At 34.4% G+C, this 23,662-nt stretch overlaps 2 annotated features.

The window, feature by feature from the left end:
* Window positions 2,182-2,351: a silencer, noted in NCBI's record as "fragment chr11:97708692-97708861 (GRCh37/hg19 assembly coordinates)". NCBI's record gives its function as "represses an EF-1alpha promoter that drives an FKBP-Casp9 reporter gene in an ReSE screen in phorbol 12-myristate 13-acetate-treated (for megakaryocytic differentiation) K562 erythroleukemia cells {active_cell/tissue: K562(+PMA)}" and the evidence as "EXISTENCE:reporter gene assay evidence [ECO:0000049][PMID:32094911]".
* Window positions 19,411-20,610: an enhancer, noted in NCBI's record as "MED14-independent group 3 enhancer chr11:97690433-97691632 (GRCh37/hg19 assembly coordinates)". NCBI's record gives its function as "activates an origin of replication core promoter dependent on BRD2, BRD4, P300/CBP and CDK7 cofactors, and independent of MED14, by STARR-seq in HCT116 cells {active_cell/tissue: HCT116}" and the evidence as "EXISTENCE:reporter gene assay evidence [ECO:0000049][PMID:35650434]".

Below are 23,662 nucleotides of genomic sequence, written 5' to 3'. Positions count from 1 at the left end.
TTTTAATTTTTATTTTAGGTTCAGGGGTAGCTGTGCAAGTTTGTTACATAGGTAAACTCATCTAATGGGGGTTTGTTGTACAGATTATTTCATTACCCAGGTACTAAGCCTAATACCCAATAGCTATTTTTTCTGCTCTTCTCCCTCCTCCCATCCTCCACTCTCAAAAGGCCCGTGTCTGTTGTTCCCTTCTTTGTTTTTATTAGTTCTCATCATTTAACTCTCACTTTTAAGTGAGAACATGTAGTATGGTTTTCCGTTCTTGCATTAGTTTGCTGAGGATAATGGCCTCCAGTTCCCTCCATGTTCCTGCAAAAGACATGGATCTCTTTCTTTCTTATGGCTGCATAGTATTCCATGATGTATATGTACCACATTTTCCTTATCCAAAAATTATATTGATACTTTAAGAAAAATCACATCCTTTTCTGAAAACAAGAATTAGCTCATCTTCCTAATGTGTGTCCACTGACTTGATATGCCATAGCTTTATGCAAATTAGAGCTCTTGTTGAGGCCTCCAGATGTACATAATTCTAAATCATTTTAAACTGTATGTTTGGAGAATTGCAGTCAATAAGACAATTAATTGAGCAAGGTTGAATGTCTAAGAAGCCATAAATTCTATTACTAATGAATTTAAAACTAAGAGATTATTTTTTGTTTATCACTTTTTTTCTTTTTCTATTTTTCCTTTCTTCTTTTTTTCATTCCACCCTCCTTTTCCTTTTCTTCCATCTTGTATTTTGTACCTAATTGCTCAGGAAGAAACAAACAAACCAACCTGAAAATTCATGGCAAAATCAACCCCTTGAAAACTGAAGAAAACCAGCTTAATGGAAATTTTTTTCAATTACGTTTTACAGTTAAAATGTTTATCTATTGCTTCCCAATGACCCCTGGGGATTTAGACTGGGCAAATAATATCAGAGGCAGACCCATAAGATGGGCCCAACTGTAAATGTTCTTAGTCTTCAATCAGTCCCCATGAGACATTAGGAAATGCTAAATGTTCCATTAGTGGTAGAGAAACTTAGTGTCTTATTGGACACTCTCTGTGCCAAAATCAATAAAAGTGGAGACAAAAAGATCACTGAGGCTCCTCTGCTCTCAAGTAGCTTAATATTAAGTTAGAATATATAAAATATATATAGGAAACAAAAATATGCACTAGAAACTTAGAAAAAACCAAAGTGCTGTAGTTCAAAAGAATGTGTAATGCAGTTTGACTTGGTTATGGAAGATAAGATAACGCCTACTTAAAATTGGGCTTTGAGGATTAGACAGTGTTTATAGGTACACACGTGAAAAATGTTTTAGGTGGAATAGCATAGAAAAAAAGTTTTAAAGAAAATTCGATGACTTTGAACTGAATGTAGGACTTTTTAAAAAATTCATTATGTACTAATCAAACATTTCACTCTTCTTAGCTTTACTGTCTTCATCTCTGGAATAAATTTTCATAGCATCTACCTCACAGAATTTTATGAAAATTAGGTAAAGTAATGAGTAGAAGACACTTAGTATAAGGCATGGCACATAATGAATGCTAATTTTTGAGGGAACTTTTATTAAAGAAAATGCTGGAAACAGGATAAATCTGAGGACTACCTCATAATGAATTTTGATCAGAGCCTTGTGAACAGGTACAAGAAATGTGAAAACAAGTGCTCCACAGTAGGTTGAGACAAGAATATAATTTGAGCTCTTCTGGGAAAAGAAAATTGCCTTTGTGTTTATTAGATTGAGGTGTCTATTTCTTTTCCCATTTCCAGTTATATAATTTTCTTGCTATAGTATCTTATAAAACAAATCCTATTTGTTTTAGTAATCCTCCTTTGAAATTTTTTTTTTAAAAGGAAATACCTTCCTATATGGTGTCTTACTTTAGTGAATGTAAATATGTGCATCCTTTCTCTGGTAAAATTACAATCTTACAATCAAATGCCAGACTGGCCATAAAAACATAACTAATTGTCTAATTGTCATCAGACAAAATACTGATGATTACTAGGTATGCAGATAAGCTTTAATGTGTGGAAGAATATAGCAAAATACTTCATTTAAAACTTCAGGCCAGGCACGGTGACTCACGCCTGTAATCACAGCAGTTTGGGATGCCAAGGTAGGTGGATCACTCGAAGCCAGGAGTTCAAGACCAGCCTGGCCAACACAGCGAAACCCCGTCTCTATAAAAAATACAAAAATTAGCCAGGTTTGGTGGTAGGTGCCTGTAATCTCAGCTACTCGGGAGGCTGAGGCAAGAGAATCACTTGAACCCGGGAGACCGAGGTTGCAGTGAGCAGAGATTGTGCTACTGCACTGCAGCCTGGGTTACAGAGTGAGACTATCTCAATAATAATAATAATAAAATAAAAAATAAAAAAAGGAAACTTCAGCTCATGGAGTGTTGTAAGAATACTATTTACAGCTTGATTTGGTCTCCATAGGCCTTTCAAAATACATGCCTGCTCCAAAACAAATACTCTTTAAAAGTTGTGCATAATTTATTTTATGATCGCCTTTTCCATACTTTTTATTAGAAGTTATGATAGTTTCCCCCTTGCTGTCATGCATTAAATATTATCCACTTTCAGGCACACAGACTCACTTAGACTCACAATTCCCACTCTATTTCTTTCTCAATAAACTATATTTGTTTTAAATTTAATTTTTTTTAATTTTTTATTTTTGAGATGGAGTCTTCTCTGTCACCCAGGCTGGAGTGGCTAGATCTTGCCTCACTGCAACCTCCACCTTCTGGGTTCGAGCGATTCTGCTGCCTCAGCCTGCCAAGAAGCTGGGACAACTTCTTCTGGCTAATTTTTGTATTTTTAGTAGAGATGGGGTTTCACCATGTTGACCAGGCTGGTCTTGAACTCCTAGCCGCAAGTGATTTGCCTGCCTCAGCCTCCCAAAGTGTTGGGATTACAGGCATGAGCCACAGTGCTTGGCCTCAATGAAGTAAATTAAAAGGCAACTATATGGAATTATTTTAGAGAAAGCTTTGAATTTTATCTAACGTTTTAAAAATGTTGAATCAGTTGGTGTTTTGAACACTACTGATAAAAAAACAAACTGCCAGACATCTGATAATTGGTCATTGGGCATAAATTGCTGTTATACTGCAATTTATAATGACATCTTTGAGAAATTTAGCTCAAGAGTCCTGTCGAAGCATTTTGAGAAGATCCAGATCTTTCTGAGGCAGCTTTGCTAAGGTCGAAGATGCTCCATCATTAGGAAATGAATGCTTTTTTACTCCAGTTCCTTAGAACAGTGAATAACTTGGTAAGAAATCAGCCTGTTGTGTAGAGCAGTGGCAATTATAAGTTGTGAATTTCATGTGATACTCAAAATGTTGCTCGCAAAAGCAACCATAGGAAAAGGGAAAATATCAGAAGATTCATCTTAACAGGTTTTTTTTTTCATGTACATTGCAGAAAGGAAGAATAATTGGAAAAGGTAAACTTGAAAATTTGACTATAGACTAAGTAAGACAGGTAATTTATATACCTCAGTTAATAATATATAATGTAAAATCTCTACCAAAACCTGTAACACCATCAGGGTCCCTAGGCTACGTATTCTTATATCTTCTCTTGTAAATTGTAAATGTCAATAAGCATTCGTTGTCCCAACTCCTTTCCCCATCTCAAGTGACCAACAAATATACACAAGGTTAATTTGCTCAAACATCAGAACAACTGTTTTTTTCTTTTAGCCTGAATTATTTTGTGTATAGAGAAAGGACTCCCTGTCCTATTATCTGAATATTGTGATCTTGGCGTTCAGTGTTCCTAAGATAAAAGTATGTTCATAAGCAATTTCACTTTTGCACTAGAATCTCTCCATATCTACACAGAATTATAAACTTTATGAAAGTTTAGCTCTCTTCTCTCTTTCTTCATTCTTCCTGTGGCTTTTACTCCCTCTTTTCATATGTAGCCATATCATGGTATGCCATGTCTTCTATACCATCTTATTTGTGCCTTTTACCTGAACATGTGCTGAACTCTTACTCATCCTTCAAGATCCACCTTAAGCATTTCCTAAACTGTGAAATTTTTCCTCAACCTACCATATGAAGCTAGTTATTCCTTCCTATGTTACAGCCCTGAATCCTATATATATTTTTTTCTATTTAAGTACAGATTATATTCAGTTGAAATTATTTGCTTACTTGCTTATCTTCCTAGATTTTGATACCTGCAGTATTAGAAAGCATATGCCTCATAATTAAATGTTCAATAAAATATGATGAAAAGTAGAAATAAAGGTAAATGAAAACAGAAATTTATATCGGAGAAAGAATGATTGAATTATTTATTAAATTAAGCATTTATTTTTACACAGCAAAGATGATCATATGTGTGACTATGTCCCAGCAGCCACTGTTTAGATTTACTGCAAAAGAAAATGCAATTCAAACTGAAGAGTAATTAAATATATGAAAGTAGATGCAAAGAAAAATTCTGATCTTCTTCAGCAGTTGTGATTTTCAGAGAGATCAGTTCACCAGCCAGTCCACATCTATTAAACTTTATTCTGAAACCTAGGGAATCAAGAAGAACCCATGAACTACAATTATTCTTAAAAAGTAATCTCCATTTTAGAAATCTCATTTCATCAGACTGTAATTCCTATTTTGACCCCCTTTTTGTGGCAGGCTAAACTATCTGTTTATTTGTTTGTGTATTTATTTATTATTCACTCATTTACTTTTTTTTCTGTTTGGGCACTCAACACAAGAAAAGAAGCTCATTTGCCTTCTCAATCTTTTCTGTCTTCTATGGAGGCTTGCTCTTCAGAAATACTAAAATTGCTTTGTAGGGATCTTGTTTGGGACATATAATTGATACATACTGAGAGCACACAAAAGGTCCCTTGTCAAAAGTGGAAGGGTTATTTTGCTAAAAACTTAGTGTAGATATGTAGACTTCTACATGTATTGCTAGGAACCCTGATGGGTGTATAAGAAGATCTTTATGTTGAGGATTCTATGTGTTTATATTCATTTTCATAGGGAAATCAGAAAAAAATTAAGTACTGATATCTGTGATATTTGCTATACACACATTTATAAATCGTATACATGCATTGGTAGCACATGTATATGATTTAGAAATTAACATGTATATGTATATTTAAGATTTGATTTTTTTATAGAGAGGGACATACCAATAAAAACATTTAGATATTCCTATATGCAAGGTTTAGTCACTACTATATATATATATATATATAATATATACACACACACACGTGTGACTAAGACTGTAGTATAAGAATAAAGTCCAGAAAAAGAATCATTCTCATGATCTAGTTATACTTCAAATATTTTATAATGCATATACTATTTAAATTTATATTGTTTTGCCTTGGTATCACTTTATTGCTGTTGTTTCTACTGTTATTTTTATAATGATGATTATACTGGTGATGACGACAATGACAATGATGATGGGAGTTTCTTGGGAATGCTTCTTCCATTTAGTGAAAGAAGTAAAACTGGTATGCTTCTGGACTTTTTTTTTCTGCGATTGATAAATATTGGCTCAGCCATACCATTTTCTTGGGAATGTATCTGCCCAGCAAGATTTCAGATCTCTTGATTCTTACATGCCATAAATTGATGCAAAGATTTCATGGCTAATTCTGGGACTTAAAGGTTCTGGCCCATATATCAATAGAATTAATGTCTTGTCTTCAATACTGTCCTCAATTTGCTTAAAAAAAAGATATTGTTTTTGCTTCATTTTTACCTCCCAGTTGATGGAGTACGGTATATTAGAGGCTCCTCTGAGACTTCAGTAGTGATTATGATATTGATATAAGCTGAGTAAAGTCTCTGATGGGAAGATGGGCACAAAATTTTACCCAAGTTCCTCTTCAGTGAGATTCTGACATAAATTAGGCACACACAAAGGCAGTGAGGACAGAAATTGTTTGACATTCAGTGGCATGAAGAGTCCTAGCCAATTGAGTTTATTTCCTTCTATATTAGATTTCTATTGCTGTAGTAACAAAATAGTACAAACTTAGCGGCGTAAAGCAACATAAATTTACTGTCTTGCCTTTCTGGAGGTAAGAAGTTCTAAAATCTGACCAGGTGTGATGGCTCACACCTGTAATCCCAACACTCTGGGAGGCCAAGGTGAGAATATCGCTTGAGTTCAGGAGTTAGAGACCAGCTTGGACAATATAGGGAGATCGTGTATCTCCAAAAAATAAACATTAGCCAGACATCATGGTGCACACCTGTAATCCCAGCTACTCAGGAGGCTGAGGCAGAAGGATCACTTAAGCCCAGGAGATCGAGGATGCAGTGAGCTATGATCGTGCCACTGCACTCCAGCCTGGGTGACAGAATTGAACCCTGTCAGAAAATGGAGAGGAGAGGAGAGTCTAAAATCAAGGTGTTATCAGGACTATTCCTTCTGGAGGCTCTACAAAAGAATGCATTTCTTTGCCTTTTCCAGCTTCTAGAAGTTATCTAGATTCCTGGTGGACTGCTAGCTTCAAAACTAGTAGTGTAGCTTCTTTAAATCTCCTTTGCTCTCTGACCTCTGCTTTCATCATCACAATTTCTTCTGCTTCTGATCTTTTATTTCCCTCTTTTAAGGAGTCTTGTGATTACATTTGGTCTGTCCAGATAATCCAGGATAATCTCCATATCTTAAGATCTTTAAACTTGATCATATCCATAATTCTTTTTTGCCATGTAGAGCAACATATTTCTAGGTTCCAGGGATCAGGATGTAGACACCTTTGGGGCACTATCATTCTGTCTGCCACACCATTTTTTAATAAGATGATAAAGCCTTTAAGAATTTTTTCTTACAAATTGGTTTAAGGAAAAATGGACATATGTAAAAGAAAAAATGAACCAACATTTAATTTTTAATTTTTTTCATATTCTAACTTTTCATTTGAAATAATTTCACATTGGCAACAGCACTGCAAATATAAAAGATTTCTCATATGTTATTTACTTGACTTCCTTAAATAATTACATTTTACATGAACATATAACATTATCAAAACTAGAAAATTAATGCTCATACAAAAGCATTTATGATAAGACTTATTCATATCCTATTTCTCTACTAATATCCTCTTTCTAGTCCAGTGACATATGGAGTATCCCACATTGTAATTAACAGTCTTGTTTTATAAGCATCTTCTAAGATCCCCAGTATTTCTTTATCTTTTATGACCTTGGTATTTTGAAGAATGTTGGCCAATTAGTTTATAGACTATCTCTTAATTTGGATTTGTCTGACGTTTCCTTATTATTAAAATCAGAAATGACGTGCCCATCTCCATATATTATATCAAAGAGTATATGATATCAACACGTCCTGCTACTGGTGGTGTTCATTTTGATCACGTGGTCAAAGTCATATCTGAACATATCTGTGCTCTAAAATTACCATATCCCCTTTTAAATTAATATGATGTGCAATTGGCAAAATAATCCACATTCCCTAGCAACTAGTAGTCTAAAATAAACAAAAGGTTTACTTTCCCTAGCTTTAAAAAATGTGATTCTACTTTGTATTTTGGAATAATAGCTAATTAATCCATTTTATTATCTAGATAGTTAGGTCTTTACTTATAGACTCTGTTTACAAATGGGGAAACAGTTGTTCAGAATATACTGACATCTGAGATAAAAAGACTGGCTAAAATTGGACAATGAGGTAGAAGGGTATTTAGTAAATAAAGTCTTCTAGAATTTTTTCCTGTAAATTTTTAAATTCAAGTTTATTAATTACACTTTTATATTCATACCATTCTCTTGCCCTCAGCCTTCAAGAACCTGATCAGCTCCTACCCTCTTCATATCCTCACCCTCTGACTCCTAGTAGAGCCAGAACCTGTGTTACATTTTATTATTGTATTTATCTTTAATATTCATATATCATGCTATCCAATACATGGTATGAAATTCTTAAGCAGAATGCACATTTTATAATCCTTTTATCTAATATGCCATGGGTACATTGTAAAGATTCCATAAATATTTATTGATAGGTAAACATTAATGTTGAAAACTCTTCAGCATATAATACAAATATTACTATAATAACATAGGAGAATATAAAAGCTGAATAAGCAAGTATTTGATAAAATTTTATTTATATGCCTGGCAAAATGGTTCTACATAAATATTTGTTTAACAAATTAATAAACAAGCTAAACAGAAGTAAATATGGCAGTAATTCTAAAAATTTTAGCATACTGTAAATTATGTATCTTTAAGAGAGGGACATAATATGTAAGATTTTATAATATTGAGAATATAGAACTGTTCTGAGAGATATTTAATAAAATGCACATCCTGAAATATTTAGGCAAATGTATGAGTAAATTTATTGGAGGCTATTTAAAATCTGAGTAAGTCCCAAGGATAAGATGAATATGACAAACCCTAATAGACCTTGAACCATTGATAATTATTCAGGATAGGGGTGGGACAGGAAGAAAATTAAAGTAGAAAATGTGGATGATATACAAACAGGTATAACCTGGACATTAAGGTATGATTCTTTCCCTCATAGTGTCCTGGTAGATTGAAAAAAAGAGTATAGTTAATCTGACACCCATAAATTTGGCCAGTATTTTCTGCTTCAATATCCTTTCTGATGAGATAACAAAACATACAAGCAATAAATATAAGCTGTTTTTCTCTGTAGCAAAGTGTATGAAAGAGTTTGAAGAATGATCTTTCTTATCAGAAAGAATGATAATTCCTAGATGTGTTAGAAGAACAATTCTTAGGGGAAAAAAAAACGTTCTAGGAAGGCGCAAGTAAGGTAAATCCATTATCAATAGGTTAGTAAATAGAAATGTGCATCTTGGCAGAAAAAGGGAAAGAAAATAAACTGCACAACAATAGATATTGTATTTTTGAGATTTCTGTTTTTAGAAGGCATATCCAGATATCCTGAAAATACACCAAGCTTTATTAACAAAACTCTAAATGGGGAATATGATGTAGGTTAGCAAAGGAAAGACAAGTTATTTCTGGTGATTATTAAAAGAAGGCATAGAGGCACCTCTGTGAATGATCTAGACCTATCGAGGAAATGGAGGCGCATCCGTCTGTGGTGGACCTATGTTTCATCCATATCAGAGTTTCTGATTGTTATCCCTTCAATAGTATCTTTGTGGATACCCCAGAGAAAATTCCCTTTCTTTCTAGGAGAAGAGAGGATGGTAGCCTTTATTACTGAGCATAACTCTTTTATTTTAAGTTCAGGGGTACAAATGCAGGTTTGTTACGTAGGTAAAGTTGTGTCATAGTAGTTTGTTATACAGATCGTTTCATCACCCAGATATTAAGCCTATTAATAGTACCCATTCATTATTTTTCCTGATCCTCTCACTCCTGCTACCCTCGACCCTCCAATAGGTCCCAGTGTTTGTTGTTCCTCTCTATGTTTCCATGTGTTCTCAGCATTTAGCTCCCACTTACAAGTGAGAATATACAGTATTTGGTTTTCTGTTCCTACATTAGTTTGCTGAGGATAATGGCCCTGCAAAGGACATGATCTTGTTCTTTTACATGGCTGCATAATATTTTATGGTGTATATATACCACACTTTCTTTATCCAGTCTACCACTGATGGGCATTTGGGTTAATTTCATGTCTTTGCTATTGTGAATAGTGCTGCAATGAACATACACATGCATGTGTCTTCATAATAGAAAAATTTATATTCCTTTGGGTATATACTCATTAATGGGATTGCTGGGTTGAATGGTATTTCTGTCTTTAGGTCTTTGAAGAATCACCAAGCTGTCTTCCACAATGGTTGAACTAATTTACACTCCCACCAACAGTGTATAAGCGTTTCTTTGTCTCTACAACCTTGCCAGCATTGATTGTTTTCTGACTTATTAATAATAGCCATTCTGACTGTTGTGAGATGGTATCTTATTGTGGTTTTGATTTGCATTTTTCTAATGATCAGTAATGTTGAACCTTTTTTCATATGATTGTTAGCCGCATTCCTTTTGTAATGTGTCTGTTCATATCCTTTGCCTACGTTTTTATGTTTTTTTTTTTTTTGTAAATTTGTTTAAGTAGCTTATAGATGCTGGATATTAGACTTTTGTTGGATACATAGTTTGCAAAAACTTTCTCCCATTCTGTATGTTGTTGGTTTATTCTGTTGATGGTTTCTTTTGCTGTGCAGAAGCACGTTAGTTTAATTATATCCCATTTGTCAATTTTTGCTTTCTTTGCAATTGCTTTTGGCATTTTCGTCATGAAATCTTTGCCCATGCCTATGTTCTGAATGGTATTGCTTACCTTGCCTTCCAGGATTTTTATAGTTTTGGGTTTTACATTTAAGTCTTTAATTTCACTTGAGTTAATTTTTTTACATGGTATAAAAAAAAAGGTTTAGTTTCAAAGCCAGTTCTCCCAGCACCATTTATTGAATAGAAATCTTTTTCCCATTGCTGAGCTTAACCCTAAACAAACCCATGGCACAAAATATGTTATGTATTATACAGGGGAAATCTTAATGTAAAAATGTAAACGTTATAAGTTATCTGTCCATATTTATCTGTTTTTTCACAAAACTACCTTATCCTGAGCAGTGCATAACTATTTTTTTAATTCTTGACTGTTTCTACCTAACATCTGGTGTAGGGAAATTATGATTTGAAGAATAGTGGTGTTAAAAAGAGAACTCTGAAATAGAGAAAAAGATTTAAGACATCCAGAAAATTTTATACTAATATTTGGAGAACAGATGAGTGGAGAGAGAAAACTTTGAGCTCCATAGGGCAGATATATGGCCAATAGGTAGAAACTGAAAATATGTATATAGTTTATTTTTATGCTAAGGTAAAGCTTAATAACAACAAATGATCTCAAAAAATGGCATGATTACTTTAGAACTTGAAGAATGTGGGACTCTATCATTTTCTACCTCTATTTCTTAGTCTCAGAAATTGCCACTTATATTCCAATAAAAACCAAATTACTATATTATAAACCAACTCGACACCATAGACATTCACCAGATTAGACAATTTAACAGGTCTTAACAAAACTTCAATAAATTTAAAAAGAGTTGTAATAATGCAAGTATGTTCTATGACCATAATGGAGTATAATTAGAAATCAATAACTGAAAGACAGTTGAGAAACTCACAAATATTTGGAAATTAAATCAAACACTCCTAAATAGCCAGTGGGTCAAAGAAGAAGTCAAATTAGAAGTTAGGATATATTTCGAGATAAAGAAAAATGAAAGTACAATATACCATAATTTGCATGATACAGCTAAGACAGCTCTTAAGGGAAAATTTTCATCTGGAAATAACTATGTTTTTAAAAATTTAAGAAAAGATTTCAAATCAAGAAAATCACAGGCCTGGCGTGGTGGCTCATGCCTGTAATCCCAGCACTTTGGGAGGCCGAGGCAGGTCAGGAGTTTGAGACCAGCCTGGCCAACGTGGCAAAACCTTGTCTCTACTAAAAATACAAAAATTAGCTGGACATGGTGATGCATGCCTGTAGTCCCAGCTACTCAGTAGGCTGAGGCATGAGAATCACTTGAAGGCAGGAGGTGGAAGTTGCAGTGAGCCAGGATCACACCACTGCCCTTCCCAGCCTGGGAAAGAGAGTGAGACTCTGTCTCAAAAAAAAAAAAAAAAAAGAAAGAAAAGAAAATCACCACTGAAAGCACTGATAAAAGAGAGCAAACTAAACTTAAAGCAAGCAAAATGTATAATAAAGCCTATATTAACAATAATTTGTAATATTAACAGAGATTAATTAAGTAGGAAATGGAAAATAGAGAAAAACAATGACTCCAAAAGTTGGTTATTTGAAAAGACCAACAAAATTAACAAGCCTTTATCTAGACTGATCAAGAAAGAGCGACGACTCAAATTACTAAAACCAAATTGAATGATGGTATATCTCTATTGATCTTACAGAAATTGAAATACATAAAAAAGAATAGGATGCAAAATTGTATGCCAACAAATTACAAAATGCATATGAAATGGACAAGTTCTAGAAAGACATAGCTACCAAAATGGGCTCAAGAGAAAATAGAAAACCCTTAATAAGCCTAGGACAAGTAAATAATTGAATTAGTTGTAAAAACTTTCCCACAAAGAATTATCTGGGTACAGACAGCTTTACTTGTGAATACTACCAAATATGTATATTTATAAATATGTCCATTACAAATTGTGTATATTCACACCCACGTACATTTAAAAACAATTACTCAGAAATTCTTCCAAAAAATAGGGAACACTTCTGAACGTATAAAGCCACTATTAGCCTGATACCAAAGCAAGAAAAACACATCACGAGAAAAGAAAAATGCAGCCCAGTGTCTTCAACCAAATGCTAGCAAACCTAATCCAGTAACATAAAAAAAGTTATATTTGATAACCAAGGTGGATTTTTCCTGCGAATATAAAGTTTAATATGTGAAATCCATTAATATATTACATAATGTCATAGATTGAAGAGCAAAAACACGTGGTCATTTCAATAGAAACAGAAAAGGAAACAAGAACATTAATGAAACGCAACACTACTTCATGATGAAAACACTCAACAAACTAAAAATAGAAGGAAACTCCCTCAACCTGATAATGTGTATGCACAATAAAACCACAGCTGACATTATACTTAATGGAGAAAGACTTAATGCTTTTTATTTAAAACCAAGAAGTCCGGGATGCCCATTTTTATAATTTCTATTCAACATAAAATTGGAAGTTCTAGCCAGGCAAATTATTCAAAAACATGAAATAAAATGCATTCATATAGGAGTGAAAGAATTAAAACCATCTCTCTTTGCAGATGACACTATCTTTTATAAAGAAAATCCTAAGAAAACCACTAAAAAGTATTAAAATAAATATACGAAATCAGGATGCAGGATCCAAAATACAAAATTGTGAGGACGACTGTATAAAAATATATTAGATTTCTATACTCTAGCAAAGAACATTTCAAAAATCTAATTTGAAAAACAATTCAATTTACAGTAGCATCAAAATGATAAAAAAGCCAGGTCTAAATTTAACAAGATAAGTATAAAATTTATTCTCAGAAACTGTAAGACATGGTTGAAACAATTAAAGAAAACTTAAAACAAATAGAAAAATATCTCATATTCATAAATAGAAAAGCAATATTGTTAAGATGGGTTAATACTTACATTTTTCTATAGATTCAATGTGTTACCCATCAAAATACAAGCTGACTTCTTTTTTTTTTCTTTCCAACTTTTTAAGTTCAGGGGGTACATGTGGAGGTTTGTTACATAGGTAAATTGCCTGTTGTGAGGGTCTGCTGTACAGATTATTTTGTCACTGAGGCAATGAACATAGTACCTGATAGGTAGTTTTTCAATCCTCATCCTTCTATCCTCCACCCTCAAGATGGCCCCAGTGTCTATTGTTCCCTTCTTTGTGTATTTCAGTGTTTAGCGCCCACGTTTTTGTTTTCTTTTTGTTTTGTTTTGTTTTGTTTTTTCTTTGAGATGAAGTCTCTCTTTGTCACCCAGGCTGGAGTGCAATGGCACGATCTTGGCTCACTGCAACTTCCACCTCCTGGGTTCAAACAATTCTCCTGCCTCAGCCTCCTGAGTAGCTGGGATTACAGGTGCACACCACCACATCTGGCTAATTTTTGTATTCTTAGTAGAGATGGAGTTTTCCATGTGGGCCAGGCTGGACTCAAACTCCTGATCCAAGTGATCTGCCCACCTCAGCCTCCCAAAGTTCTGGGATTTCAGGTGTGAGCCACTGTACCTGGCCAGTGGCTCCCACTTATAAGTGAGATTAAATGGTATTTGGTTTTCCATTCCTGTGTAAATTTCCATTCCTGTGTAAATTTCCAGCTCCATCCATGTTGTTGCAAAGGATGTGATTTTGTTGTTTTTCATGGCTACATAGTGAATATATACCCCATTTTCTTTATCCACTCCACTATATGGTGGATATATACCCCATTTTCTTTATCCACTCCACTATAGATGTGCAGCTAGGTTGATTTCATGTCTTTGCTATTATAAATATTGCTGTGGTGAATATATGAGTATGCATGTGTCTTTATGAACAATTCACATTCATTTGGGTATATACATGGTGATGGGAATGCCAGTTCTATTTTAGGTTCTTTTGAGAAATTTCCAAACTGCTTTCCACAGTGGCTGAACTGATTTACATTCCCACTAAGAGTGTATAATCATTCCCTTTTCTCTGCAACCTCACCATCTTCTGTTATTTTGACTTTTCAGTAATAGCCATTCTGACTGGTATGAGACAGTATCTCATGGCGGTTTTGACTTGCATTTCTATAATGATCATGATGTTGAGTATTTTTTCATATGCTTGTTTGTCACGTGTATGTATTCTTTTGAGGAGTGTCTGTTCATGTCCTTTGCCCACTTTTTTTAATGTGGTTGTTTGATTTTTGCTTGCTGACTTAAGTTCCTTATAGAATCTGGATATTAAACCTTTGTCAGATGCATAGTTTGCAAATATTTTCTCCCGATCTATAGGTTGTCTGTTTACTGTGTTGATAGTTTCTTTTGTGGTGCAGAAGCCCTTTAGTTTTATTAGGTTTCACTTCTCAATTTTTGTTTTTGTTGCAAGTGCTTTTGGAGTTTTCTTCATGAAGAAGATTGAAATTGGACCCCTTCCTTTCACCACATACAAAAATCAACTCAAGGTGAAGTAAAGACTTAAATGTAAAAGCTAAAACTATAAAATCCCTAGAAGGACACATAAGAATACCACTCTGGAAATTCGCCCAAGCTGACTCCTTTGGACAAATTACAAATTGATGAGAAGATTAATATGAAAATTCAAGGGACCTGAAATAACATAAATAACCTTTAAACTATGGTAAGACACACATATCCCAGTTTTAAAACTTACTACTTAGCTACAATAATCAAAACAGAGTGGTATTGGAAAAAATAAACATGAAGGTCAATGGAATACAACTGAGAGTCCATAAATAAACCCTCATATCAACAGCGATTTGATTTTTTTTTTTTTTTTTTTTTTTTTTTTTTGTGAGACAGAGTCTCGCTCTGTCGCCCAGGCTGGAGTGCAGTGGCGCGATCTCGGCTCACTGAAAGCTCCACCTCCCGGGTTCATGCCATTCTCCTGCCTCAGCCTCCCGAGTACCTGGGACTACAGGCGCCTGTCACCACACCCGGCTAATTTTTTTTATTTTTAGTAGAGACAGGGTTTCACCATGTTAGTCAGGATGGTCTCGATCTCCTGACCTCGTGATCCGCCCGCCTCGGCCTCCCAAAGTGCTGGGATTACAGGTGTGAGCCACTGCGCCCAGCCACAGTGATTTGATTTTTGATGAGAGTGTCAAAGCAATTCAATGAGCAAAAGAATAGTCTTTTCAAGAAATGATTTCAGGGCAACTAGATACCTACATACAAAAGATGAAGTTGGACCCTTACCTCACACTGTACACAAAACTTACCTTAAAATGAATCTAAATATAACAGCAAAAATTGTAAAAAATTAGAAAAAAAAATGAGAAATCTTTATGGCACTTGGGTTGGGCGAAACCTTTTTACATGACAACAAAAGCATGAGTGACACAAAATAGATATATTGACTTGATAAATTAAATAAAGACTTTGTGCTTTAATGGAAAACATTAAGAAAATGAAAAGTACAACTCAGAATAGGATAAATTATTTTTAAGGGTTTGTTTATAGTATATAAAAAACGCTTACACTCGATAATGTAAAGGTACACAGCCAACTTAAAAATGGACAAAGGTTCTGGATAGCTATTTCTTCAAAGAAGATTATTATATAAAAGGTCAGTAAACATTACAAGATGTTCATCATCATCAACCATAATGAAAATGCAAATAAAAAATACAATGGGGTCGGGCGCAGTGGCTCACACCTGTAGTCCCAGCACTTTGGGAGGCCAACTTGGGAGAATCACTGAGGTCAGGAGTTTGAGACCAGCCTGGCCAACATGACAAAACCCCATCTCTACTAAAAATACAAAAATTAGCCAGGTATGTTGGTACACACCTGTAGTCCCAGCAATTTGACTGGTTGAGGCACGAGAATTGCTTGAACCTGGGAGGTGGAGGTTGCGGTTAGCTGAGATTATGCCACTGTTCTCCAGCCTGGACAACAGAGTGAGACTCTGTTTCATAAAAAAAAAAAAAAAATACAGTGGAATACCACTTCACACTCTCTAGGATGTCTAAAATTTTAAAAGCCAGGTAATAACTGTTGGCAAAGATGTGGAGAAATTGAACCTCTCATACATTGCTGGTAGGAAATTAAAATGGCTCATTCATTTTGTAAAAAATCTGGCACTTCTTCAAAATGTTAAATAGACAGTTACTTTATATTCCAGCAATTCCACTTCTAGGCATGTATCTAAGAGAAATAAGGGCATATATCCACACAAAAACTTGTACACAAATGCTTGTTGCACCGTATTCATAATAGCCAAAAGTGAAAACCCAAGTGTCTATCAACTGATGAATGGCTAAATGAAATATAGTAGATCCATACAATGAACTATATTTTGGCAGTAAAAACAAATGAAGTACTCTTACATTCTGTGACATAGATTAACCTTGACAATATTATGTGGGGTGAAAGAAATGAGTCACAAATGACCACATATTAAATGAATCTAACTATATAAAATCTATCTATTTAAAATGTCCAGATTAGGCATGTCTATAGACAAGAAGTAGACTAGTGATTTATTATGGCCAGGGTTGGTGATGACAGTGGGGAGTCATAGGGTGGAAATAAGAAGTGGCCTCTAAAACGGACATAGTTTCCTTTTGGGATGATGAAAAGTTTCTATGATTATGGTGATGGTTGTACAACCCTGTGAATATACTAAAACCATTGAATGTTATACTTTAGGTAAATTGTATGTTATGTGAATTGTATTCCAGTAAAGTTGTTAGACTAAAAAACAATTACTCATGTCCTTCTCAACATACTTCATTCTTTTACCTTGCAAATTTTATTGTTTTCTATTGCCTAAATGCAGTTTTTGGTTAATTCAGTAACTATTTTTGAATGTCCTCTGTGTATCAAGCATTGAAGTAGCTTCTTTAACCTATAGAACTGAACAATTGAGGCAAAAATTGCTGCCCTACAATTACATTTTAGTGAGACTAATAGACCATACACAAGATGCTGTGTAAATATCATGCTAGATAATGAAATAAGCTAAGGAAAAAGTAGCAAATTGGAGGGGGGGAAATTTTAGATAGCATAGCTACTGAAATTCCCATTGAGAAGATGGTGTTTTATTGAAGACTGGAAGGAAATGAGGGAATGAGTCCTGCATTTATCTGGGGGAAGAGAAAAATAGAGGGAACAGCAAGGGCAAAGTTTGTGAAGTCTTGTAAAGAATATTAAGACAGCATTGAGGCTGTAGCACAGAGGGCAAGGGATATGAAATGGTTGATGAATTTTAAAAATGTTGTCAAAATCACTGAGAGCCTTTTGGATTACGATAAGGCATTAAGACTTTTTTTCTGATTGAAATAAGAAAACCTTAGAAGATATTCATTATAAAAGAGATGCCATGTAAATTATATTTTAATATAATTGATCTTATTTTTGCTTTAAGGGTATTCTGTAGCAGGGTAACAGAGAAAGGACAATATCAGTTATGTGCTTTTGTTTTTGATTTTAGTAATAGAAGCATGAGATAGTAATGCTAGCTCAGATTGGTAGTGAACTTGTCATATAGGACATAATATAAATGGTACTCCTGAAATTGTGCCACACAAATGACTCAGTTAACATGAGTCAGGTATAGAGGGTACCAAATTCTAGGTAAATATTCAAGGTAGAACCAACAAAATTTATTGGCAGATTATGGGCAGAGGGATTTGTGAGTGAAAGAGAGGCATAAAAAGATGCATTTAGGTCCAGGCACAGTGGCTCATACCTGTAATCCCAGCACTTTGGGAGGCCAAGGGGGTGGATCACTTGAGGTCACGAGTTTGAAACTAGCCTGGTCAACATGGTGAAACCCCATCTCTACTAAAAATACAAAAAGAATTAGCCTGGCAAGGTAGCGCACGCCTGCAGTCCCAGCTACTCGGGAGGCTGAGGCATGAGAATCGCTTGAACCAGGGAGGTGAAGTTTGAAGTGAGCTGAGATCTCACCACTGCACTTCAGCCTGGGTGAGAGAGAGACTCTATCTCAAAAAGAAAAAAAGATGCATTTAGGTTTTCAGCCTAAGTTTCTGGGAAACAATGAAGTCATTATGTCTGAAACAGGGAAGACTTCAATGGGATTGCATGTGTGTAGAATATCATGAGCTCAGTTTTGAGCAAGATAAGTTACTAAGTTACTCTATTAGGTATCCAGGGGATCTGTATTTGCAATTGATAAATGAAATTTAGGGCAGAGGTCAGATCTGGAGATATAAATTTTGAGCACATCAGAATTATGCTATTTAAAGCCATGAGGCTATATGAGAATACACTGCTTTTATTTTTTACTTCTCACCTAATTCATCACCTACTCTATTAAACTTTCTCTGTACCTCCAAACTATGTTAGATTCCCCTTCTATGCATTTTCCTAGTAACCAGTAAAGTATATTCCAATGCCCTAGTATTTTAATATACTAAATGTATATGTGGTGGGAGCGCCCCCCCAACCCCCGATATAATACTCTAAGGTGGGTTTTATTTTTCTATAGTTTATCAAAGAATAGCATATTAATAAATATGTATAGAATAAATGAATGAAATAATTTTGAAGCAACCTGCAAGGTCTAAGATAACAGGGTGACTAATACATATTTTGTAGTTAGTATAATGGTTTCCCCTGTGAGATTATGACTATCTTAACACTGAAAGCATCTAAAAAATATGTAAAATATTTAATTGACATTTAGGATCTTGTGGAGGGGAATCCTATGCATGATGATCTGGACCTCTGAGAACTCTGGCAACCTTAGCATCTTAACTTTTATGAATCAAATTAATGTATTAGTGGGGAAAGGAAATGAACAAATAATACAGAGGTAGATGACTCATTAAAGAAAAGGAGGTGTTAGCATGTTACTTTCATAGCCAGTTTTCTTCCTAATATATCTATAATACGTTATTACCTTGGAATATTCCTAATTCCGTTACTCAGTCAAATCCTCAAGAATTTAAAGATGCTTAGTTATGCACAGACAGTTCACAAAAAACCTGATACTATATTAATTAACAGTGAGAAACATCACTGTTAAGTAAGTCTGAACAGCTTTCTCTGCTGGCTAGCTACAAGGAGAATGAATTAAAAAACATTTTTTGGAATGGAAAAATAACTCACTACAAAAGGAAATAGAGGTTTGTCATTTGACTGTTTCAAGGCTTCCTCAGGCATGGATGTTGTGATGGCCAGTCCTCTCAAACACCTGCCCTTTGATGTGTCACGAACTTTTAACGTGGTGGCTGTCAATTTTGTATCCTCCATTTCTTACTAACATTACTCTGATTAACTATCTTTTAAAGATATATAATAACTTCAATTTAATCTTGTTATTCTTATGAAACATCTATTTTGCAGTGTCTTTCTCTGTCTCTTTTCTGATCAATTGTGTGCTGATTTTACAGTTTAACTCAGGGAGGAATGAGTTAAAGCGGCAAGTCTACATCCATTTATGCTCCTTACTTAGGGAACAGTACTGGGGCAGAAATACAAGGCAAAGGCAGGGAACCATGTGTAATATTTTCTGATGGACCTCTGCATAAACAGAAAGGAGAGACTTCACCTCTGAAATGTCCTCAACACATGCCCTGGCGGAGGATCCTCTGCGGTGAAGAGAGCGTAGGGTGTATGAGGCATGGCGCTCTGGAAAATGTCACAGACGATGTACGGCTCTCTGGAATAAAGAATGGAATTGTTTTAAGAAGTTAAATGCTCTCTACTATATAAGAATATCTGAAAACCTCATCCAGAGTCCTCATCTGTCTGGGCCAGAGGTGCATGCTCAACATGTGAAACAAGAACCTGGGGAACAACCCTCAATGTCAATGGCACAGACATGTTTCTGTGTCTTCTGAGCTTCTGATTTCCTGTATGCTTGAAATTATTTCATAAAACTTGTCGATGGGTATGCTCTCTGATTCATGTGAAACTGATTTGACAATATAACCCCATGAGTTGGAACAAACTCAAGAAGAAATATCTTATTTCTTTCATTTCTTAATATCTAGGGGAGAAAAAAAGGGAATCACGTTTTTATCCCCATGATGTAATAACTGTAAGAATTATCTCATACCTATAAAGAATTCAAATAATGGAATGGTGCTAATAATTCTATGGCTAATGCAAATAATTTCAAATAAATCTAAATAGTCAAGTAATCAAACAAATGGGGAGAGTATTTTGATGCTTATAGCACTAACCCGATTGTTTCCAGTAAAAAGCATTCTTTGAAATCTTGTATGTTTGAGCACCAACTCAATAATATTTGTAAGAATATGATTTTACTTACCTATAAGGGAGTGAATTATTGGATGATACAGCAGGAAACATTAAATGATACAGCTAATTCACAGCACAGAAATCAACACCCTTAGAAGTTAGGTACCTTGTCCATTATCACACAACTATTAGCTCTAGAGACAGAACTATATCGCACATTTTGACTTTCCTTTTACTGTTATTTCCACTGTCTCAAAGTATAAAACACTGAATTTATGTTTTAAGACCTCATCTTTGTTAAGGGTGAATTTATAAGAAAAATGTAATATATGTTAAAACCTTTTCTAATTTTGTTTTGTTTTCATTTTCCTTTTTTCTCTTCTCTTTTTTCTTTGAGAAACAGTGCTTCATTGAGTCTCACATCCCTTTAGGAATATTATTGTGTGATTTGTTTCTAGAATCCCTAATATATTTAGTCAGTCTTCTAGGCCTGAGCAATTTTCTCAAACAGTGTAATTAATTTGTAAGAAGATGCCAGCCAACTGTAAAGTTTACAATTTGAAATTGCAATTGAGAAACTTGTTAAAATATAAGATTTGTTATTAAAGTAAATATGATAACAATAACAACAAAAGTAAATGAAATCTAACATGTACATAAAGTACAGCTATGTTATTAGGGAAATTAATGTTGTGTCAAAAACTTTCTATATAAGATTTTTCAGGGTGATCATAAGTTAAACATAAAACGATTAATTCTGACATATATGGTTGATGGTAATAAGAAAACATGGATGTTTTACATGGATGCATAGAATAGAGATTATCTCCCTAAAATATTTTATTTTCCATTTTTCATTATCAAAGAAGGTTTCTTGAATATGCTTACGTATCTGTAGTAAGCTGTTATATATAAATATATTTAGGAGGCTTATATATGTTGATAAATTGAATTTTAACATAATCTTATATTTATTTTCCTAATGAGCCGCTCATTTCTATATTTCAGTATATGATCTTATAAATTTATATTCAAACAAAATCATATAGTGTAAGCTTAGTATGTATGCAAGAAGCCAAACATATTTAAATATCTTCACAGAGAATATGAATATACCTTTAGAGTAACAAATTTTGCTCCCAAATCTAGCATATATTTAGCAAACAACTTGTGTCCAGACAACAAGCCCTATCATTCAAAATTAAAAAGACAAATAGCTCCCCTAATAATGTGAAAAGTCTGAAAAGCTACCTAACAAAAAGTGTTATAACTTAATCAGAGTATGGTTTACATTAATGTATACCTTTGTCAAGACATTAAATTTTATAGTTAAGATCTATGTACTTAATTAAATATAGGTTATATGTACCTAATTAAATGTAGGTTGTACATCACACTTATGAATACTTGTTTATGTTTTGTCTTCTAAGCTAGATTGTATTTTAATGAAGGCCAGGCTTAGGATGATATGTTGTACACAGTGCAAAAAATGTTTCTTGAATGAATGGGTGGAGAGTGGAGGATAGACAAAACTTGAATTTTAGGGACAGTGAGGAGTTGACTATGGCATATATTTTTAGTCTGGAAAAAAATTGATGGATATTGAAGTCACACTCAAATGCATTTTTGGGGGGATATCGTAGAGGAAAATCTAGTTAGTTGGAAGAAATGAGTATAGTTTTTAAAATGATTGAATTTTCATCCAAACATGGTGGCTCATGTCTGTAATCTCAGAACTTTAGGAGGCCAAGGCAGGTGGATCACCTGAGGTCAGGAGTTTGAGATCATCTTGGGCAACATAGTGTAACCCCGTCTTTACAAAAAAATACAAAAATTAGCCAGATGTGATGGTGCATGCCTGTAGTCCCAGCTTCTGGAAATGCTGATGCAGGAGGATCGCTTGAGCCCAGGAGGTTGAGGCTGAAGTGAGCTGTGTTCCTGCCATTGCACTCCAGCCTGGGAGACAGAGTGAGACCCTGTCTCAAAATACAAAAGAATTAAAAAAATTATTGAGTTTGGACTAATGGTATGACATAGCATCTATAAGATTCTACAAAACATCAGTGAGTTCATTTCCATTATTTCTTCGGTAATAAACAAGAGAGTAAGCAAATATCTTAACCTAGCTTGGTCATTCAGTCTATTAGCAAAGGTATTTGCTTAGAGACGTGACCTAGGACATATCTGCCAAACATGAGGCATAAATGTAACATCATTTTCCTTATTCAAATGCAATTTTGACAAAGAATTACTAAAAATATAGACTAACAAGCCAAGGACATTATGATCTCACTGAAAAGGGGGTACTGATGAAAATATATAAAATATTTCTCTTAAAATATAATCAATGTACAAAATTTTCAAAAAGTAAAATGTGTACTCTAGTATAAGTTCATTAAAATTAATAAACATTTACTGATTATCCATTATTCTTTCAGCTAATGTTTCTTGTTACCTAATAATTGACAGAAATGATACTATATGCTGAATAATATATATCTATTTATCACCTGTTGGCATTAATCTATTATTCATTCTACTCAAATGATAGACCTAAGAATGAGAGATGAAATTCTCATTTAAGACTTTTGGTAAATAGAAACAAGAAGCTATTATCTTTCTGGACAAGAACAAAGGAGCGTGTTCCTCAAGCTGCTACTGGCAGCCAATTTGTGACTCTACAGAGAACTAATATTATTACAAAACCAACCCACTGAAAGTGTCAGAAAGGAGCACCAGACAGAATATGGCTTTTTGATGCTGCTATTAATCCACAGAATCAACCGCCAACACTTGAATGTATCTTCTTATGGAATTAAAATTCTGCGAGGTAGTAACTTTCTCTATTAGTAGTAAGCATGTCAGACTTCCTGCTACTTGTAGCCCAACACACTCTAATCCATTTAACCTGTTGTTTCTCTTACTAAAAAGGAAATAAATATTCCTTCTTTAATGATGACACAATGACATAATGGTACTGTAGAAGAGAACAGGCACCCCTGAGATTTTTACATCTACTCATAATCTTGTTGTGATACCTCCTCAAGTTGTCAGAGCTCAGTTACCTACCTTACAGACTTGTCTCTCAGAGAGATCGTCGTCTAATAAACAGGCAAAGACACAATCTTGAATCGGAAGATGGAATATATGACCAGGGTTCCATACCTTTTAGCTAAATCTTCTAAGCTTTGACTTTC

The sequence above is a fragment of the Homo sapiens genome, chromosome 11, assembly GCF_000001405.40.
Source record: "Homo sapiens chromosome 11, GRCh38.p14 Primary Assembly".
In the NCBI taxonomy this organism is placed as follows: domain Eukaryota; kingdom Metazoa; phylum Chordata; class Mammalia; order Primates; family Hominidae; genus Homo; species Homo sapiens.
This window is presented reverse-complemented; position numbering and strand designations above follow the sequence as displayed.